Raw genomic sequence first — 22,173 nt, forward strand, 5'->3', positions numbered from 1 at the left:
TAAAGAAAATGGACTTTACGTTGGTAAAGGTGAAACAACATACAAAGAGGACTGAAACTTGAGACAGGTGAGGAGGTAGTAAGAAAACACCCATCTGTTTCAAATAAGTTCATGTTTCCAGGGACAAATTACGTCCCACAGCTGTTTACAAGTAACCTAAGATCTATTGCTGGTGAGTTCTGAGAAACTGTAAAAAAGGAAAAAGATGATAGATCACTTGCTTAAAACATGGTGAAAAGGTAGACATTGAAAACTGTAGAACAGAAAAGTAAAACTCCAGAGTCCATAGTTAAATGTATTAGAATTTGGTGGTCACTCGGAACCAGACTGACTAAAATAAGACAAGTCACACCACACTTCTTTATTTGATCTTTGAGAGAAGATGGAATGTTATGGCCATGATATAAATTAATTTCAGCAAAGCATTTAATCCAGTCTTTCATATCTTTGTGGATGTGCCTAAAATAGGGGCCTGATTTAATTATGATTAGGTAAATTCAAAATTAGTTGGATAACTGTACCCTGATTTTTGTTCATATTTTTCATAAATTACATAGGTGAAGAAATCATTGTGGTCAAATCAACAGGTGAAACAAAAACTACATAGCATAGCAAATATGACTGAAGACAGAACCAGAAAACAAAATTATTTTAACAATTTGAACTGTGAGCTAAAACCTAAAAGATAAAATTTAACATAAATATATGAAAATGTCTGCATTCAAGTTGAAAAATACAATAGCACAAGTACAAAGTGGGATGGGTTGTAGCTTAGCCATGCGAAAAACATTCAGAGGTTTTAGTGTCTGCCAAGATCAATGTGAGGATAGCCTGAAGTTATACCTCTAACACTTCCATTTGAAAATACTGCCCTACCTTCCTCCTCCCTTTCATCCCCTTGCCAATATTCCCCTGGAATAGGCAGAATAATGATCCCCACCCCCACTCGTCCTAATCCCTGGAACCTGTGAATATGTTCATTTATGTGGAGAAATGGATTTAAGATTGGAGATGGAATTAAGGTTGCTAATTAGCTGATCTTAAAATCAAGGAGATTTTCCTTGATTATCTCAGTGGATGCAATATAATCACAAAGGTTTTTAAAAGTAAAAGAGAGAGGCAGAAGAGGAGACTAGAATTATGTGATGGGAGAACTCAATCCACCACTGCTGGCAGTGAAGATGGAGGAAGGGATGTGGATGGCCTCTAGAAGTTGGAAAAGGCCGGGAAACGGATTATCCCTTAGAACCTCCAGGAAGGAACAGAGAGCCCTGGGAACACCTTGACTTTATCGCAGAGAGATCTGTGTGTTGAACTTCTGTTTGTTTGTTTGTTTGTTTGTTTTTGAGATAGGTTCTCACTCTGTCGCCTAATCTGGAGTGCAGTGAGGAAATCATAGCTCACTGCAGCCCCAATTTTCTGGGCTCAAGCGATTCTCCTGCCTCAGCATCCTAAGTAGCTGGGATTGTAGGTGCATGCCACCCATCCAACTAATTTTTTAATTTTCTGTAGTGATGGGGGTCTTACTGTGTTGCCCAGGCTGGTCTTGAATGCCTGGGCTCAAGCCATTCTCCTGCATCAGCCTCCCAAAGTGCTGGGATTACAGGCGTGAGCCACTGTGCCCCACCTGTATTGGACTTCTAACCTACAGAACTGTAATAATAAGTTTGTGTTGTTTTAAATCACTAAAGGCTGTGGCAATTTGTCAGGGAAGCAAGAGAAAAGCTAGTACACTTTTTATATTGTATTTTCCTTCTCTGCATTGCAATGCTGTGCTTATTTAGCATCCACATGTCCTTTCTTCTCTCTTGTCTCTCTAAGGAAGCAACATGATGCCATAGAAGGGACAATAACTATTACTTAGATGTTGTGGATTTAGAAACTTAGTAACTGATGTGACTCCATGATCATATATTACTCATGGTTAGTTTCCATAATCACTGTTTCCTAATTTGTAAAACAGAAATCTAAAATAGCTTCCTTCTTTGACTCTGTGCTGCTTCAAAGAACTTATGAGATGAGGTATAGGAAATAATAAAATCCAACTGTTGAGCATGTAATATGTGCTGCATACTCTTCTATATGCTTTATGTGTAGCCTTTTATTTGATCTCTGCAATGATATGTGAGCTGTGAACTATTATTTTTTCTTCACCGAGGTAGAGAAGTACTCTGAAAACTATAAAGTACCAGAAATTATAAATAAATGGATGTCCTGTAGGGAATCAATGTACAATGAAGAAAAAAAGTTTTTTCAACTAATAATTTTCTGGAAACTTTTTGTTTTCTTAAACTTTACTGATACTAGCTTTCGATATTTGTACCTTGAACATTTCCATCACAGTTATTCTCTTTCTTCATTAATCTGTCCATTCATTCTGTAAATATTTGTGAATTACCTATTACATGTCAGGTACTATCCTAAGCCTTTGGGATAGAACAGTGGATGAAACAGACATGGCTCTAGCTGTTTAGGATTATTGATTGCAATGAGGGCTATAAAATGGGAAGTGACAAAGAAGTGTGGTCAGTAGCATCATGGGAATAGTGGTCCATAGAAGGACATTGGTGATTCATCTAATACAGACCTGGGGTGTCAAGGAACATTGTTTAGAGGAAGACATATCTAAAGATTTGAAGGCTAAGTAGGAGTTAGGCAAAGTGGAAGCAGAGAAAATTCCAAAAGAATAGTTACCTTCGCCGGGCACAGTGGCTCATGCCTGTAATCCCAGCACTTTGGGAGGCCAAGGCGGGCGGATCACCTGAGGTCGGGAGGTTGAGACCAGCCTGACCAACATGGAGAAACCCCGTCTCTACCAAAAATACAAAATTAGCTGGGTGTGGTGGCGCATGCCTGTAATCCCACTTACTCAAGAGGCTGAGGCTGGAGAATTGCTTGAAACTGGGAGGTGGAGGTTGCGGTGAGCCGAGATTGAGCCGTTACACACCAGCCTGGGCAACAAGAGCAAAACTCCATCTCAAAAAAAAAAAAAAAGAAATAGTTACCTTCAGTATTTCTGCCTCTTCGTCATTTACATTGACTTTCTTTTTCTCTCTCTCTCTCTTTAAACTCAAGTAGATCCTTCTTTAAGTTTTATTCCCAAAATATAATTTGATATTAACTTCTTGTAAAATTTTCAAACATTTCATATTTAATAAGCTCTTTATAACCCATGTTTGTCTGATCTCACATTCTTTTAATCCAATAATCAAGCAATGTTTGATTAAAGGGTACTTTATTTCCCTATTCAAGTAGAACATGGCCTTCTGTTATTAGCTAATTATAATATAAATAAAATTCAAAATAAACAAGCAAATGTTTCCTGTATAATTTCATTCTTGTGGTTGCTTTCCTTTGCCACTAGATGGTACTTGTATGCCTGAGAGACCAAAATGCTGATTCCGTTTACCTTCCTGGAAACTGTAAAACTAACCAATCAGAGGATCAGGTCATTGAGAAGAAGAAACTTGCCCAACCTAAGATGTAAGTGATCCCGGTTTTTAAATTTATCCTTAAAAATTAACCCAACATTATCTTTTCTCTTTAGATAAATATGACAGTAAAACATTTTAAATTAAATTAGCTTTAATTTTTGCCCATTTTTTACCAACCCCCATACCCCTTTTTTTTTTTTACATTTCTTTACTTTTACTTTCTAATGATACTGCTTTTCTAACATCCTAACCTGGAAAATTGGATTACTTGTTCCTTATTGGAGGCCCTCCACCCTCCAAGCTCCTTGTCTAAGCTAATGCTTTTCTTTCTACTTTGAAAAGCCACTACCTCCCTTCTGACCCCTCCCTCATAGTTTTTATTTTCAGAAATCCTAGTCATTCTTCAAGGCACATTTCAACTAGTACCACTATCATGAAGTTTTTCCTGTTACTATTACTTGAAAATGCCTTCTTCTGATTCCTTTTCCATTCTTCTAACAATTTTAGTAATTTGTTTGATAATACGTGTAATGTATTATTCTAAAGAGCTATATGCATCTCCATAGCAATTAGGCTTCCTGCATTGTGATTATTTATGAAATTTACTTAATCTCTGTACTATACAATGTTTGCCTCTTGAGTGCAGAGACTGTCTTAGTAGTCTATATATCCTGAAATATTTTACATATTATTATTTATTGAATTGGGTTTAATGTTAATATCCATAAGACTATTGCAAAAAACTCTAAGAATAACAAAATAATACGGTGATTCTTAATGGTAGTCTCATGTGTGAGTTGGATGAAATTCATTAGCAAAACCTGTGGAATCAAATCATCTTTTCCCCATTTTCCCTTTTTTCCCATGGCATGAGACTCCTGCCTTCTCCAAATATATAGAAATAATGAATAGAGTATGAGTATTTTAAAATATAAAGCTGAGTTTAAAACAGAGACAGCAAAGGCTTCAGATACCAGAATTGAAGAAGAAATTCAAAGTCACAATAATAAGGTCCAGGAGCTGAGGTTTAACCCCATTTGGGACTAAAAGATGTGGTCCTAAAGCCACTTATGAGGATCTGGAACTAACATTCCTACATAAACTAGAACCCTAAAGAGGTTTTCACTTTTTGAAGCCTTAGAAGTCTAGGATGAGTAGGGGTGAGAGTAATGGTTCCTGTGAATATTGAAAGCCTCTGCCAATGGAAATCTAATTTTACCTTATCATTTGAAAAGAGAATCCTAAGAAAGAGCCAGGCCCTATAGAAGCAAATATAAAATCCTTGATGAGGACATATACACAACTCAGGAAACAAAAGAATCCCACAGAATAAATGGCTTTCAGTAAAGGTGAGCTCTCAATAAAATTTGCACACTACACAAAGAAACAATCTACCAAAAGGCATATGAGAAGACACAACAAATAGAAAAATCTGTGCCCCAACCACTTGAGTTAATAAAGCAATCTGACCACTAGGTGCAGTGACACACACCTGTAATCCCAACACTTTGGAGGTCCAAGGCAGGAGGATTGCTTGAGGCCTAGATTTGAGACCAGCCTGGGCAACATAGTGAGACCCTGTCTCTATCAAAAACAAAACAAAACAAAACAAAAAAAAACCTGGAAGTGACTATCAAAGAAAAATCCATAAAATGATTAAAAACATAAAGGAAAATAAAAATCAAATGAAGGAAAAGTATAAGAAAAAATAAAAATATTTGAAAAAAGGAATTTATTGATCTATTAATAATTTTGATACTTATTGAACATCTGCAGAGTTCTAGCACTGTTCTGGGTTCCAAAGATAAAATAGTGAATAAGATACGTGAATTTCCTACTGTCATAGAGCTTATTTCTATTAAAAATAAAAAGCTCTACATATGGGTTAAATAGATGGACTAGATACAGTGAAAGAGATAATTATTAAATTGGAAAATAAATCTGAAGAAATTATACAGAGGATTAAAAAATGGAGAGTATAAAAGTGAAGTTATATCCTTAAGAGTATAATAACAAGATCTAACACATATTTAATAGAAGATCTAAAAAGAAAGAAAAGAAATAAAATGGAGGGGAGGCCTGATTCAAAGAGAAGATAGCAGAGAATGTGTGAGATACAAAGATAGATATGAACCAGAATGCAGTAAGTCCTTAACAGGATACATGTTTTAAAAGAAATCAATATCAGAACACTTCTAGTTAAAATTAAAGAGCACCAAAACAAGAAAAACAATTCCTAAGAACAAAGCAAGAAAGAAAACATACCTATAGGCTGGGCATAGTACCTCACGCCTATAATCCAACAATTTGGAAGGCCGAGGCAGGAGTATTACTTGAGCCCAAGTGTTCAAGACCAGCCTGGGCAACATGGAGTCTCCAAAATTAATAATTTAAAAAATTAGCTGGGCTTGGTGGCCCATGTCTGTCATCCCAGTTACTTGGGAGGCTGAACAGGAGGATCACTTGAGTCGGGGAAGTCAAGGCTACAGTGAGCCATGATCTTGCCACCACACTCCAGCCTGAGTGACAGAGTAAGACCCTGTCTCAAACAACAACAACAATAACCTACCTATGAGGAAACAAAAATAAAATTGACAATAAAAGTGCCACTAGTAAAAAGAAAGATTAAAATAAAATTTTTAAAGGGCTATGGGAAATTCTATTCTCAACTAAGCTGTCAAAATGAAAATGAGAAAAGTTGTCGGATAAAGACCACTAGAGTTTACCATTCACAGACGTAGGCTGAAACGACTACTGACAGATGTACTTCAAAAAGAAGGAAATTGAATCCAAAAGGAAGAAGCAAGATGTAAGAAGAAATATTGAACAAGGAAACTGAATAAAATTTGGAGAAACTAAGTATTGACATATAAATAATGTATTATAACCAAGAAAATTAAGATGCTATAACATGAAAGAAGAGGAAGTCAGGTTGAAAATACTCTGTTTCTAAATTCCATTTTTTGAGAGGAGGCTACAGTTATTATTAATTTTGGAAATTGTAAATTGGAGTATGCATGTTAAAAATTTCAAGACATCTGTCATGTGTATTTGCTACATTATTTAAGAATATTCAATTCAGGGACTAGAAAATGAAAGAAAGGAAGAATTAATTAAGAGATACATATATATGTTAGATATATAAGGTAAGTAGAGTATGTGTGTACTGAGTGCATAAATAAGAAGATATGGAAGGACTGGGTAAGCACCAAATATTCATGAAACACCCAAGGCACCAAATATTAATGAGGACTCATTTTGGCTCCATGTATCCTCTGCTCAAGACAGATAAAATCCATGGGTGCTCAACAGGTAACAGTGGTGAGTTACAACTATAGCCAGGCGGACCAGTCCCTGAGTCTTTCTTGCAGAGAAAATATAAATTGGCTCTAGGCACCCTCCATCTGCCAAGTCTTCTTTGTTTATCTGCAATTCTGGTCCTTATAACCACAATGTTAGCAGGAAGAATTAATATAGAAAAATAGAAGAGAGGACATATAAACATTTTATAGAATAGGCTTCAGTTAACTCAATCGTATACTAATTGCACCCTTTCCTAAGTACATTATTAACCTACTCTGCCCCTTTCCCCTTGCTTCTTGCTGTATCCTTTAAATTGATTCAATAAACTGTGATCTCAGCATCTTACTTGGGTCCATGAGCCTGTCTGGGCCAGCCCTTTGGTAAAGGACTTGGAGACACCATTGCATCAAGGTAATCTCCCACTAACATACCACTAAAAGGTAGAGATATGTAACTTGTAAATTAGTAAAAGATAAAAGGAGAAGAAAAAAATCACTCAAGTGGAAGGCAAGAAAGGCCTAAAAAATTAAGAAATGGCATCTTAAAATCAAACTTGATTACCTTTTGTTTTATTTCAAAGATAGACAACTCATTTTTAATTCACCTACCTCATCACATAATTTCTTATTGGTTGTAAAATACGTGGTTAAGAAGGATTCTAAAGCGAAGTCCCATTTTAATAAAAAAGAGTGCCTTCATCTGTTGGCAATATCTACCCAAAGGCACTGGAAATGAGCTGAAATCATATGAGGAGTACATACGTGTCTTTATTAATCCAGGTTTTCTAAGCTTAAAAAATCACCACCAATTCCCAAAGCTCTCAAAAAGTCAATTATATTTTATTTTAGTTTTTGTAAATTTGATGCTTTTATGCCTAATCTTTTCATATGTTTGAGAGAAGTTACTTCATATACTACTAATTCAAATACGAATATTTATAGTATCTGTAACAGTGTGAAAATCATAAGATAGTATTTTTAGTTACTACATAGGAAAGAAAGTCCATCAATATGCCTATAACTGGCAAGAAATTTCAGCCATTATTCAACTGAATTCCACACATGGTCATTGAGCTCTTACTGTGACATGCACAAGGAACTCTACTAAAGGATGCAAAATTTAAAAACATAGTCCCTGCCATCAAGAAATTTAATAGTGAAGGAGATATCCATTACATAGTCAACTGTAAAACAGTATAATGTCAGTAGATTCTACATCTAGCTGGGTATTAGGATCATCCAAGAAGCTTTTGTTTGTGTATTTATTATTTTTGACTGTCAGAACCTGTCCAAGATCTGAAAAAAGAATCTCTAAGATATGAAATCTGGAAATGTATAGATTTAAAAGGGCTTCCATATGATTCTGATACTTAGCCAGATTTGTGAACAACCATGATAAATGTTATGCTATTAATACTTAGAAGAATGTGGCTTATGTTACTTTATTGCAGTTGTTTTATGACCCTAGTTCTCAAGGAAAGGGAACGTAATATGAGTACATTTCCTTAGGAGGATAAACTTACAAGGATAAACTTGCAAGATAGAATATTAACATGGGTTCAGCCCTGGAGTGCCAGAGAACACTATGAAATCATTTGATGACAAGAGGGAATAGAGGTACAAACTCACCCAGCATGTTGGGGGAAGGGACAGGATACGAAATATAAACATGACCCATGTCCAAATTGTGCCATGAGGCCGGTCCTGTTTTTTAACTTTCTCTATGTCTGCACTTAAGCCTGAGGACTGACTTGGAAGAGCGCTTGTTAAATTGGAAACTTTAATTAAAAAAAAATCATATTTGTACACTTCTGGTTCCTAGATTGTCAATTATTTTCAAGTAACTCAACTATTATTTTTGGCATATTTTTTGTGTCATTTTCTAAAAAGACAGTCTATCTAGTCAGATAAGTTTTCTAAGTAGGATTCCTTGAGTTTACCTATTTTTGTGTAGACCTTTTATTTTCTTGTGAAGATTTTTATTTTTCAAATAATTTTTTATTTTTATTTTTACTGTTGTTTCATGATGTTAAAATGGCTTGTATTCATTCTTTTACAAACTAAGGAAAAGAAGAAAAGTGTGAATTAAAGTAAAGGAAACATTTTAACTCTAGCTGTTCTGATACACATTATGTAACATATGGCTTAGGATAGACTGATAGACCAAATAGACCAATTGACCCAAAAATGTGCAACAGGCCAAATACCACTGATATTTAATTCTTACATAGTAATTCAAAAGGATGCCCTAGGCATTGTCATCCAGTCGGGGGCAGTGGGTTGAAAAGGCACAAAGGGAGAAAAGACCCCCTTCTTAACAGTCCAGACCCTGAAGTGACAGTTATCACTCAAGCCTGCGTTTGTTTTATGAGAAACAGCTATGTGGCTCTACCTAGATGCGAGACAAGTGCCAGTCTTGGCTGTGTGGCCACTTCCCAGCTATAGTTCCATATTATGGGAGGAGGATTACAAATCTCCAGTGACAGCTAGCCATATGTATTCTCTTTCTTGAAAATGTAAGAGAATCTACTTTTGAAAGTGTCTAAGCCTGGCACCTCATAGGGGTTATTTATTGACAACACTATTTTTACTCCATTGTTATTGGTCTTCTTAAAAATTTGTGGAAATTCAGCCGGGCACGGCGGCCCATGCCTGTAATTCCGGCACTTTGGGAGGCCAAGGTGGGAGGATCATAAGGTCAGGAGATGGAGACCATCCTGGCCAACACGGTGAAAACCCGTCTCTACTAAAAATACAAAAATTAGTCAGGCGTGGTGGTGGGCGCCTGTAGTCCCAGCTGCTCGGGAGGCTGAGACAGGAGAATCGCTTGACCCGGAGCGCAGAGGTTGCAGTGAGCTGAGATATTTATTTATTTGTTTATTTTTGAGACAGAGTCTTGCTTTGTTGCTCAGGCTGGAGTGCAGTGGCATGATCTCTGCTCACTGCAACCTCTGCCTCCTGGGTTGAAGCAATTATTGGGCCTCAGCCTCCCAAGTAGCTGGGATTACAGGCACCTGCCACCATGCTGGGCTAATTTCTATATTTGTAGTAGAGACAAGTTTTTACTATATTGGCCAGGCTGGTCTCAAACAACCGACCTCAAGTGATCCACCTGCCTCGGCCTCCCAAAGTGTTGGAATTACAGGCGTGAGCCACTACCCCCAGGTCTGTTATTTTTCTTTTAGATCAGGGACTTGATAACATCTAATTTGTCTAAAATTTGCCAAGATATGATTCTGGACACTCTTGATAAAGCTGTGAGTTACTATATTTATGTCACATTTGTGTTTTATTAGAGAAAGTTATATCTTGGTGGGAAATACCAATACATTCAATTTTCTAGAACCTTGCTGAAGTGTAGGGACATGGAATTGCCACACCTCTCCTAAGGTATCCTTTGGTACCATTTATCCTGGGGTGAACATTTAGGTTAGTGGAAAGAAGAGGAACACCATCTAATTTTCTATAGGAATCAAAATGTTCTTTGAATGACACTCAAGTCTTTTCTAAAAGTCTCAACTGACACTATGCAAATATTACTTTCCAGTATAGATTCAATTTTATTAGAACCTAATATAAGGAAACATGTTTGTTCTATACAATTAAAAAAAAAACAAATGAACACAGAAGAATAATTAAATTTGAACCTAATTTTATTTCAAGTAAATTACAGACACTTAGTTGCATCTTTTCTGTTCAATTTAGAGCACACATTAGACATTTAAGAAATTAGAATTGTTATACCCTGTTACTGGAAAGGAGTCCTGATCCAGACCCCAAGAGAGGGTTCTTGGATCTCGTGCAAAAAAGAATTCAAGGTGAGTCCATAGAGCAAAGTGAAAGCAAGTTTATTAAGAAGGTAAAGGAATAAAGCAGCCCTGAGGGCGTCAGGTTGCCCATTTTCATGGTTATTTCTTGATTATATGCTAAACAAGGAGTGGACTATTTATACCTCCCCTTTTTAGACCATGTAGGGTAACTTCCTGATGTTGCCATGGCATTTATAAACTGTCATGGTACTGTTGGGAGTGTAGCAGTGAGGACCCCCAGAGGTCACTCTCATCACCATCTTGGTTTTAGTGGGTTTTAGCTTGCTTCTTTATGCAACCTGTTTTATCAGCAAGGTCTTTATGACCTGTATCATATACTGACCTCCTGTTTCATTCTATGACTGAGAATGCTTTAATGAATGCAACCTAGTGGGTCTCAGCCTTATTTTACCGAGCTCCTATTCGAGATGGAGTTTGCTCTGGTTCAAACACCTCTGACCCCTGCACTTCTAAATTGAAAAAAAAAAAAAAAAAAAAGTATCACTGAATTGAGTTTTTTTAGAACCATGAAGATTTTTTTTTTCTGAAATGTAACATTTTTCTATATGAAGAACTGACATTTTAATTCCATACCCTACTCACTCATCACTCTGCTCAAATTATCATTCCAATTCCTCAACTCAGTGGTTTGTTGTTGTTGTGGGTTTTTTTTCTATTTATAGTAGATGAAAACTAACATTGATGTTATAAAAATAACATTAAGATGCACACTCAAAGCCCATAAGAAAATCTTTCTGGGTTGAGGACATTTCTGGCTGGGTTTTCAGACAACAAAAGTCTGTTGACTTTTGAAATATCCTTTGTTTGACATTGGATTGTTCTCTTTTGCCTGCTTGATCAGAACAGGTGAATTTAATTTTCTCTTTTCTTTGTTCTATTATGAACTGCAGGCACCTCTTTAAGAGGACCCAGTAGGAGAGAATTGCCCTTGAAATGCTAAAATGGGGAAAACAGCTTGAGAATGTTATGAGGCAAGACAGACTGACGTGAAAGATATTTTCATCTCCGTGCACTTGGTGCCAACTCAAGGCCAAGTTAGGAAAACAGTCCACGATGTACTGTAAAGTAATACTGAATGGAACAGGTGAGTTAAGAATGGAGTAAGAATGGAAAAGTGAGTCAGACATAAAGTCACAACACCCTGAATTTGTCCTCAAGATAATTATCAGTGGCATTAATTGGCAAATTTCTGTTACTATTTAACAGTAAACTAATTAATGCTACAAATATTTGCATATTGTGGAGAGAACATTACAATGTTCTTGGTGTAAAACCTAGATGGGGAAGTGGAATTTAGTTTCAAACTCCAACCTATCTCTTAAATCACTTATTTCTATTTCAAGCTGAAGGAGAGAAAAATTATTTTGCATGAAACCTATGAGAATTTAGGGTGCTTATCAGGAAAAGGGGAGTGTTCTGCTAGTAAAGGCTTTATTTAAATTTACTAAGAGAGAGTGTATTTGCTGCTTCTATGGCAATTTTTCTGTATGACTACTTTCTAACAAAAATGAAATCTTTCTGTCCAAAATAGGTGAGTGCTTTAAATGAGAGAGCCTATATCATAGTCTTTGATTGTTGATCCTGTTTTTACATGGCTTTGGAACAATCTCAGGTTCTTAATTCTTAGCTTTTCCTTTACATAACTATAAAAATGGAGATGATAAAATGCTGAAAAGTTTTAAATGTTTGTATGTGTTTGTTTGCTTTGTTTTGGGATTCCCGAGTGGACATTTTTATCGCTATGAAATATTACTACACTGGGAACTTGAAAATACAGGGGCAGATTCAGGGGGCAATGCCATAAAAATGAAGACAATTCTGATGAAACAAAACTTTAAAAGTATGAACTTTTAAACACTTTAAAGATATATATCTTAGAATTAAGTTTAAAAAAAATTTTTTGAATGTTGATGAGGGTACAGGGCAATAGAGGTTCTTATATACTGCCAGAGTGGTGCATACTGGTAACATCTTTCTCGAAAGTAATTTATCAACATGTGTCAAGAACTTTAAAAATGTTTTTAAGCCAGGTGTGGTGGCTTATGCCTGAATTCTAGCACTTCAGGAGGCTAAGGCAGGTGGATCACTTCAGACCAGGATTCAAGACCAGCCTGGCCAACATGGTGAAACCCCGTCTCTACTAAAAATACAAAAATTGGCAGGGGGCAGTGGCTCATGCCTGTAATCCCAGCACTTTGGGAGGCCAAGGCGGGCGGATCACCTGAGGTCGGGAGTTCGAGACCAGCCTGACCAACGTGGAGAAACTCCGTCTCTACTAAAAATACAAAATTAGGCGGGAATAGTGGCGCATGCCTGTAATCCCAGCTACTCGGGAGGCTGAGGCACCAGAATTGCTTGAACCCAGGAGGCGGAGGTTGCAGTGAGCCGAGATCATGCGCCTGCACTCCAGCCTGGGTGACAGAAGGAGACTGTCTTAAAAAAAAAAAGTGTTTTTATTTATTTGCTTAGGCTGCCATAACAAAATACCGTAGACTCAGTGGCTTAAACAGCAGAAATTTATTTCTCACAGTTCTGGAGGCTGGTGTCCAAGATAAGGTGCCAGCTGATTTGATTTCTGGTGAGGGCTCTCTCTCTGGCTTATAGAAGGCTGCCTTCTTGCTGTGTTCTCACAGAGCAGGGCTGCAGGGAGAGAGAGAAATATCTTTCTTTCCTTCTAAGACTTTAGTCCTTCCTATTGGTTAGGGTCCTATCCTTGTGACCTTATTTCCTAATGACCTCTCTCTAGATATAGCCACATTGGAGATTAGTCACCCACATAGGAATTTGGGTGGGGAACATAATTCAGTAATGTTCTTACCCTTAGATCAAGTAATTCAACTTCTAGCAATCTATCCTGTGTGCATAGTGTAAGGTATGGGTGGGGAGGAAGGGGAGAGAACTGAAATGTAGCCCTAGATGTGAGCTTATTTATATTCATCATATTCTTTATTTACAATTTAAAATAGAAAAACAACACAATGTTCAAAAGATATTTTGAACACAATACACAATACACAATACACAAGTCTGTGTTTGTACCCTAACACGCTCAAAAAATAGTTGAGTGTGTTGTGGCACAACATAGAAAATTAGACAGCCAAAACTTTTAATTTTTTTAATCATGGGAAAATGATTACATTCTATTTTAAAATGTAGGATAATGGCTGGGTGTGGTAGCTTACGCCTGTAATCCCAGCACTTTGGGAGGCTGAGGCGGGCAGATCACCTGAGGTCAGGAGTTTGAGACCATCCTGACCAACATGATGAAACCCCGTCTCTACTAAAAATACAAAAATTAGCTGGGTGTGGCGGTGCACATCTGTAATCCCAGCTACTCAGGAGGCTGAGGCACAAGAATGGCTTGAACCCAGGAGGTGGAGGTTGCAGTGAGCTGAGATCGAGTCACTGCACTCCAGCCTGGGCAACAGAGTGAGACTCTGTCTCAAAAAAAAAAAAAAAGAAAAGAAAAGAAAAGAAAAAAGAAAAAAATGTAGAATAAAAAGTTATTTATGTACTGTGACAGCCACAATGTAAAATATATGTATAGATGCATAGAGAAAAGCCTTAGGAAATATATTACAAAAGATTAACAGTGATTATGTCTGGGTAGCAGGATTATATGAATTTTTATCACATTTTTTGCAATAAGCATACAGTGTATTGATAACATTAAAAAATTTTTTCAAAGTGAACAAATATGTAAATGTGGGGTAAAGTCAAAATAGGAAAGCTAAATGTGTATGATTATCTAGGAAACCCACCAAGTATCTTAATGATGAGATGAAATGAATTTTCTAATAAAATCTCAGGTAAATAAATTTAGGCTGTATTTATTTGTTTGTTTATTTATTTATTTTAGCTCTATTGTTCTTTGTAATCCCCAAAGGGTTTCCTTCCTTATTCTGCCCATGTTTACAGGTTGGAGATAGAAAAATAAGGAGAATGCTTCTGTTTACAGTGTGTAAATTGAATTTATTGTTCTTTTAGATAGGGCTGCTGAATGGAACACACGAAAAGCCATTTTTTTTTGTATGTAACTTTTTTTTATGCCTTGCCTTATTTCCAACATAGGGGTCCTCAAATTTTCTTTACAACAGAGTTGAATTTCAGGCTTCAGTGGAAGTAACGATGAAACCTGATCTTCTGCTATTAAAGAATCTCCTCCTGCTGCTCTCTATCCTTAAGCTTGATGAGATCCCTTTTGAAAATAAATGTTCGGGCTGGGTGCAGTGGTTCATGCCTGCAATCCCAGCACTTTGGGAGGCCGAGGCGGGCGGATCACCTGAGGTCAGGAGTTTGAGACCAGCCTGGCCAACATGGTGAAACCCCATCTCTACTAAAAATACAAAAATTAGCCCGGCGTATTGGCACATGCCTGTAGTCCCAGTTACTCAGGAGGCTGAGGTTGGGAGGATTGCTTCAACCCAGGAGGTAAAGGTTGCAGTGAGCTGAGATAGCGCCACTACACTGCAGTCGGGTTGACAGAGCGAGACTCTGTCTCAAAGAAAAAAGAAAAGAAAGGAGGGGAGGGGAGGGGAGGGGAAAGGAGAGGAGAGGAGAGGAGAGGAGTTGAGGTCATTATTACAAACAATTCTGCCTGAGGGGAGGGGAGGGAAGAGGAGAGCAGAGGAGAGGAGAGGAGGGGAGAGGAGTTCATTATTACAAACAATTCTGCCTGACACTGAAACATGACTTTTGTTATTGTGGATTGGTTTGTCTTTCTTTTCTTTTTTCAGACAGTCTCGCTCTGTCGCCCAGGTGCAATGGTGTGATCTCGGCTCACTGCAACCTCCGTCTCCCGGGTTCAAGTGATTCTCCTGCCTTAGCTACCTGAGTAGCTGGGATTACAGGGATGCACCACCACACTCGGCTAATTTTTTTTCTATTTTTAGTAGAGATGGGGTTTCACCATGTTGACCAGGCTAGTCTCGAACTCCTGACCCCATGATCCACCTCCCAAAGTGCTGGGATTACAGGCGTGAGCTACCGCAACTGGCCTCAGGTTTACTTTATTTTTTTTTTATTTTTATTTGAAATAAAGTCTCACTCTGTCACCCAGGCTGGAATGCAGTGGCATGATCTCGGCTTACTGCAACCTCTGCCTCACGAGGTCAAGTGATTCTCCTGCCTCAGCCTCCCAAGTAGCTGGGATTACAGTCATGTGCCATCAAGCCCGGCTAATTTTTGTATTTTTAGTAGAGATGGGGTTTCACCATGTTGGCCAGGCTGGTCTCAAACGCCTCACCTCAGGTGATCCGCCCGCCTCGGCCTCCCAAAGTGCTGGAATTACAGGTGTGAGCCACCATGCCCGGCCCGGTTTTACTTTAGAATGTCCTTGGACAACAGCGTAACTGCCTAATGAATTCTTCCTACCCATTGCACTGACAAAACCAATTCACTGAGACCATGGCATTGCAATAAAAAAGAATTTAATTGACATGAGGCTGGTCACACCCCATGGGAGACTAATTTATTACTCCAATCAATTTCCCTGAAAATGTGAGCCTGGGCAACATGGCAAAACCTGTCTCTACAAAAAAATACAAAAATTAGCCAGGTGTGGCGTGCACCTGGAGTCCCAACTACTTGGGAGGCTAAGCCTGGGAGGTAAGGCTGCGGTGAGCCCGGATCACACCACTGCACTCCAGCCTGGGCAACAGAGTGAGACTCTGTCTCTAAATAAATAAACAAACTATAAGCTAAATGTCTCTCAAAGTTAGCTTGGCCTAAGCCCAGGAATAATTAAGGGCAGTTTGGGGATTAAAGGCAAGATGCGGGTTGGTTAGTCCTCTCACTGTCATAATTTTCTCACTTTTATAATTTTTGTGAAGGCGATTTCAAGAAGTGGAGTCTATTCAGTTAGTTGGGGGATTTAGAATTTTATTTTTGGTTTACACTTTCCAAAAAGCCCAGCTCTGAGAAGTAAAAGTCTAGGCTTTCAAATATGTGTGTGTGTGTGTGTGTGTGTGTGTGTGTGTGTGTGTGTGTGTGTATTCAGACAGGGTCTTGGTCTGTCACCCAGGCTAGAGTGCAGTGGCATGATCCCAGCTCACTGCAGCCTCAAACTCCTAGGCTCCAGAGATCCTACTGTTACAGTAGGTAATTAGTCTGATATGAGCAGAGGAGGAGAGGCTCCTCTCCACATCAGGAATGTCAGGTGACCATCAGGTGATGGTCAGTCAGTGGTTACACTGTCTCTTTAAAAGAATAATTAGTCGCAGCTGGTGGCAGGGAAAGGCAGTCGCCCAACAGATAGAAACACCTGAAACTGGTGATCAGCATCTTCCTGATAAGATCTCAGGAGTTGAGCAACTGGGCTCAAGCATGTGCACTAAGAGGCAAAATAGCAGAGTTTAACTGGTATATGACCTTTCTCTGGAAATGCTTGACTGGTAAGGGAAGAACACCTTAAGTGAGCATGTGTACAACTTCAGTAAACACACTTCAAGTGCAGCCCCTCCAAGTGCTAGCAGGCCACTGTGCATGCAGATCGCCCACCCCAAAGGAAGAATCAGGGGAGAAGTAATGCAACCCTGGAAGTATGCCAGTGTGTAAGATCCCAAGTCAAAGGCCAAACTGCACACTTGAATCTCTCAGGTTGCCTGCTTGGCCTTCTTCCAGTGTATTTTACTTCCTTTCATTCCTGCTCTAAAACTTTTTAATAAACTTTCATTCCTGCTCTAAAACTTGCCTCAGTCTCTCACTCTGCCTTATGCCCCTCCATCAGATTCTTTCTTCTGAGGAACAAGAATTGACGTTGCTGCAGACCTGTATGGATTCGCCACTGCCAACACTCCCACCTCAGCCCTCTGAATAAGCAGGACAACAGGTGTGCATCATCATGCTCAGCTAATTGTGTGTGTGTGTGTGTGTGTGTGTGTGTGAAGACGACTTTTCACTATGTTGCCCAGACTTGTCTCAAACTCCCGGACTCAAGTGATCCTCCTTCACTGGCCTCCGAAAGTGCTGGGATTACAGGCATAAGCCACCATACCCAGCCCCTCAGAAATATTTTTTTATTTGTGTTTTTCAAAAGCTTATTTTGGAGTACAAATGCCACCAATTTGACTATTCCATCTCTATGTTAAGTATACTGGGTAGTTCGAATTTCATAATATAATTTACAGAAGATGGGAACAACCTCAGTAAATAACTCAAAATTTATCTGTGTGTTCAAGACCACACTCATTTATTCAACCTATATTTGTTGAGCACTAACTATGTGCTAGACATTGTCCTAAACACTGATGGGTATACTTCAAAAGATAAAAATACAGTTGGTTTTCACAGCATGTAATAAGTTCCCTGAAACATTTTGAAAGAAAAGTGGTGACCCAAATATATGTTGTACTACAATAATTCATTGGTGGTTGAACACCAGATAATGTACTCTGGGGACCTAGGCAAAGAATATGAGCATATCACCACCTGAATAAAACCATGAATTAGTTACAAAAGCAGAATCCCAATCGATTTCCAGATTGGCATCAAGGTAAACCAAACAGTGTTACAAATCCAACTCAGGCAAACAAGAGATTAATGAGCTAATAAAAAAAAAAAAAGCAAGCAAGTCACAGACTAAGAGGAAACCAATGCATAAAAAAGTTCAAAATAGGGCTGGACGCAGTGGCTCACACCTGTAATCCCAGCACTTTGGGAGGCCAAGGTGGGCAGATCACGAGGTCAGGAGTTTGAGACCAGCCTGGCCAACATGGTGAAACCCCGTCTCTACTAAAAATACTAAAATTAGCCAGGCGTGGTGGCTAATTTTAGCTAGCTGTAATCCTAGCTACTCGGGAGGCTAGGAGAATCACTTGAACCCGGCAGGAGAATCACTTGAACCCTGGAGGTGGAGGTTGCAGTGAGCTGAGATCACGCCACTGCACTCCAGCCTGGGCGACAAAATGAGACTCCGTCTGAAAAAAAAAAATTCAAAATAGAAGGGAGGTGAAACTGGCATAATTCTCTGAGTGTGGATTTAAGTATTCACCAATCTTGATGAATACTTAAATATAATGTTTGACATTGTGTCAGTGGCCTCAAGCCTAATCATGCTAGTGTAATAATCTTTTTTGGCTTTTGCATTTTCTTTCTTTCTTTTTTCTTCTTCTTATTTTTTGAGATAGAGTCTCCCTCTGTTGCCCAGGCTGGAGTGCCGTGGCACAATCTCGGCTCATTGCAACCTCCGCCTTTCGGCTTCAAGTGATTCTCCTGCCTCAACCTCCCGAGTAGCTGGAACTACAGGTGTGCTCCACCATGCCTGGCTAATTTTTGTATTTTTGGTAGAGATGGGGTTTCGCTATGTTGGCCAGGCTGGTCTCAAACTCCTGGGCTCAAGTGATCTGTCACCCTCAGCCTCCCAGTGTGTTGGGATCACAGATGTGAGCCACTGCGCCTGGCTCCTTTTGCACTTTCAAGACAGTTATAAGCAACTTATATAAGTTATAAGTTATTTTAGAACAAATTAAGTAATACTTATGCACAGTCTGAATAACAACGAAGTTCTAAGTCACATTCGTTTCTCTTTATTTTCTCTTGGCTTTCTTCTATTTGCATGGCCTCAAGTATCACCTCAATACTCAATCTGTAACCCGTAAGAGCAGCCCAAGCAAATGACTTGGCACATCTTCCAAATTCTAGTGATGCATCACCAAATGCTTGCTGGCCATTTTCCCCGACTGTTTTGACATCTCAAACTCACGATGTCCCAGACATCACCTTCCTGGAAATGTATCTATCCTGCTGTAATCATATGCACCCCCTTCATGGTGCATGTGATCACCATGGCACCACCCCCATCCCTTTTCTTCTAAACTCCTTCCTCTTCCAAGTCTCCCAGATTCAGAACCTCAAAGCTGTCTTTGATTTTTGTGTCTGAATCACTATCCTTCTAGCTTACAATTCCCATCCAGGCTCAGATTCATACTAAATCGAGGTAATCAGTGAGGTAGTCTTTACATATGTTTGATTTTTATTTGTATATGCTATAGAGAGGCATATCTCTGGGTCATATTCATGACCTCTTTTTAATGCCTCTTTTTATTTTTTTTGGCCACTTTAAGAAGATGTAGAAGAGATGTATGTGGTTGCAGCAAGTTGTTTTATTTGTATTCATGAGTGCTGCCAGTCTGCTGAAAAATGCTTGTCGATGATGGACTGTTCTCAGTTATCCATTCCCTAGTTTTCTCTGTGAAAGAGAAATTGGTCACCTTTCACTCCAGCCTGGGCAACAGAGCAGGACCCTGTCTTAAAAATAAAATCGATTACTTTTATTGAACAGTATAAAAAAGAGGATAACATTCCATCAAGTGTAATAGTGACAGAAAAATAAAACTGTGCTTTCCTTTTCCAAAAAAAAACCAAAAAAAAAAAAACCAGGTATTGTCCTAAAGCAGCAATCCTCAGTGATGTAGACTGAATATTTGTGTTCTGCCAAAATTCATATGTTAAAATCTGTTGCCAAAATGTGATGTGATTACGAGGTGGGGTCGTTGGAAGGTGACCAATGACCGAGGCTGGAGCCCTTATAAAAGAAACTCCAGGCTGGGGGCAGTAGCTCACACCTATTTGGGAGGCCAAGGTGGGTGGATCGCTTGAGCCCAGGAGCTCAGATACCAGCCTGGCCAACACGGCAAAACCCCATCCCTACTAAAATGACAAAAATTAGGCAGGTGTGATGGCATGCTTGTAGTCCCAGCAGCTTGGGAGGCTGAGGCAGGAGAATCACTTAAACCCAGGAGGCAGAAGTTGCAGTGAGCTGAGATCATGCAAGCACACTCCAGCCTGGGCGACAGAGTGAGACTGTCTCAAAAAAAAAAAAAGAAACTCCAGAGAGATCCCTTCCTTTTCTGCTCTTCCACCATATGAGGACACAGTGAAAAGACAGCTGCCTGTGAAACAGCAAGCTGGCCCTGATCAGACACTGAAATCTGCCAGTATCTTGATGGTGGACCCCCCCAGCCTCCAGAACTGTAAAAAATACATGCTAATTGTTTATAAGCCACTCAGTTTATGATATTGTGTTGTAGCAACATGAACTAAGACAGTACTTAATTATGCTTTTTCATATTCTGGAAACAACATTTTAAGACAGTGATTCTCTTTCAGGGTATCTGTAACATCCAAATAATACAAACATAATAATACTGAAGGAAACCAGAATATGCCACCCCAAAATATGCTGCTTTGACATAAAAATTATTTTCAGGCTGACGGCATTACAAAGCAGCAAACAGAAGAAAAGCTATCTCTATCCAACCCCTTTTCTCCCTTAATTTTTCTTTACTGGAGACAACCCTAGACTCTTACCAGCCCAGACATGGCACCAGAGGAATCTGCAAACAAACTTTACTGCACTAGTTTCCTCCCATATATTTTACCTTCCCACAGTTTCTAAGCCACTGCTTTGAATTACTTTTCATTGAGATTTCTCTGCATGATGTGTGTTATATTCATCAATAACTTAACTTTTCTCTTGTTAATCTATCTTTCATTATAGAAATCCCAGCTAAGAACTAGGAGGAGTTTAGGAAAAAATTAATTAGTTTTCCTCCTGACAATGCCAAGATAGAATGTTAATATGCAACATGTTCATCATTGCTATTTTAAAATCAATCAATATTTAAAATTTTCTTTGTTTCAATTACCAAAACATTAAGTGTTGATAGTTATAATCCACATAGACAAAAGTTCTTTGAGATACTCAGTAAGTCCTACAAGTACAAAGTGGTACAGAAACCAACAAGCCCAAGTGTATTAATATGATTTTATTACATTAGTATTATACTATAGTATTATATTACTAGACTTTGAAATGGGCATAAAAGGGTACCAGGTGTCATATTATGCACACCTTTCTGGGTTATCTCTTGTCATTATCTATGAGGTATTTTATAACTCTGTAAATTGTAGAGAGCTAAGAATAATACACATGATTTCTGACCATAGAAATGCAGATGAATTGTGTGCTGGCAGAAAGCAACTGATTATTGCCCTATGGATATTGACAACTTTCACCAGTTTTGCAGCTATTTTAAAATGTATTTCAGCATTCCTGATTGCCTACGTATCGTTAGCATTTTAGATTTTCCTTTGAACCACATGTCTCTTGATAAACTAGGAGTTCTTCATTGATAAGAGTTATGTATTCTTTATTCCCTTATCATCTAATTGGTGCTATAATCATTGGGGGGAGTTAAATAAGGTCAGTCTAACTGGTAAGTATTTGAGTATGAGAATGTTAATACTTGCCTTATTTTTTTATAGGGTTTCCTTTATTTTAGTAATTTACTTTCCTGCAGTATTTGTCCTTAATTCTATATAAATTTTTTACAGATTATACAATTAATTAGCTGAAGTGAAACAACAAAAGTTAGAAAAAGCAAAGCAAGAAGATTGTACCCAAAATAGAGCAAGGGAAAAAATTTATAAGGGGAGCAGGCAGATGGGGAGAGGGACTTCAGTGTTTCAAGCCTAAAGCATACCACAACTGAAACTGTTAAATTTAATTTTTATTCGCTCTACAGAAAACACTAGAGAAACTTTGAGCCAAAAATACATGCTGACTTTATACAGTGTAAAGAGTTTTAAAAATTATGTGTACTACTA

At 38.4% G+C, this 22,173-nt stretch overlaps 1 long non-coding RNA gene across 1 annotated transcript in view; it reads left to right on the top strand.

The window, feature by feature from the left end:
- Positions 1-22,173, top strand: part of LOC105371878 (uncharacterized) — a 27,118-nt gene continuing 4,945 nt past the window's right edge. The window contains exons 1-3 of the long non-coding RNA XR_934949.2: positions 1-67; positions 3,365-3,483; positions 11,457-11,650. This is a non-coding gene — a long non-coding RNA (uncharacterized LOC105371878). The remainder of the gene's footprint in view (positions 68-3,364; positions 3,484-11,456; positions 11,651-22,173) is intronic.

This window comes from Homo sapiens, chromosome 17 (assembly GCF_000001405.40).
Source record: "Homo sapiens chromosome 17, GRCh38.p14 Primary Assembly".
NCBI lineage: Eukaryota > Metazoa > Chordata > Mammalia > Primates > Hominidae > Homo > Homo sapiens.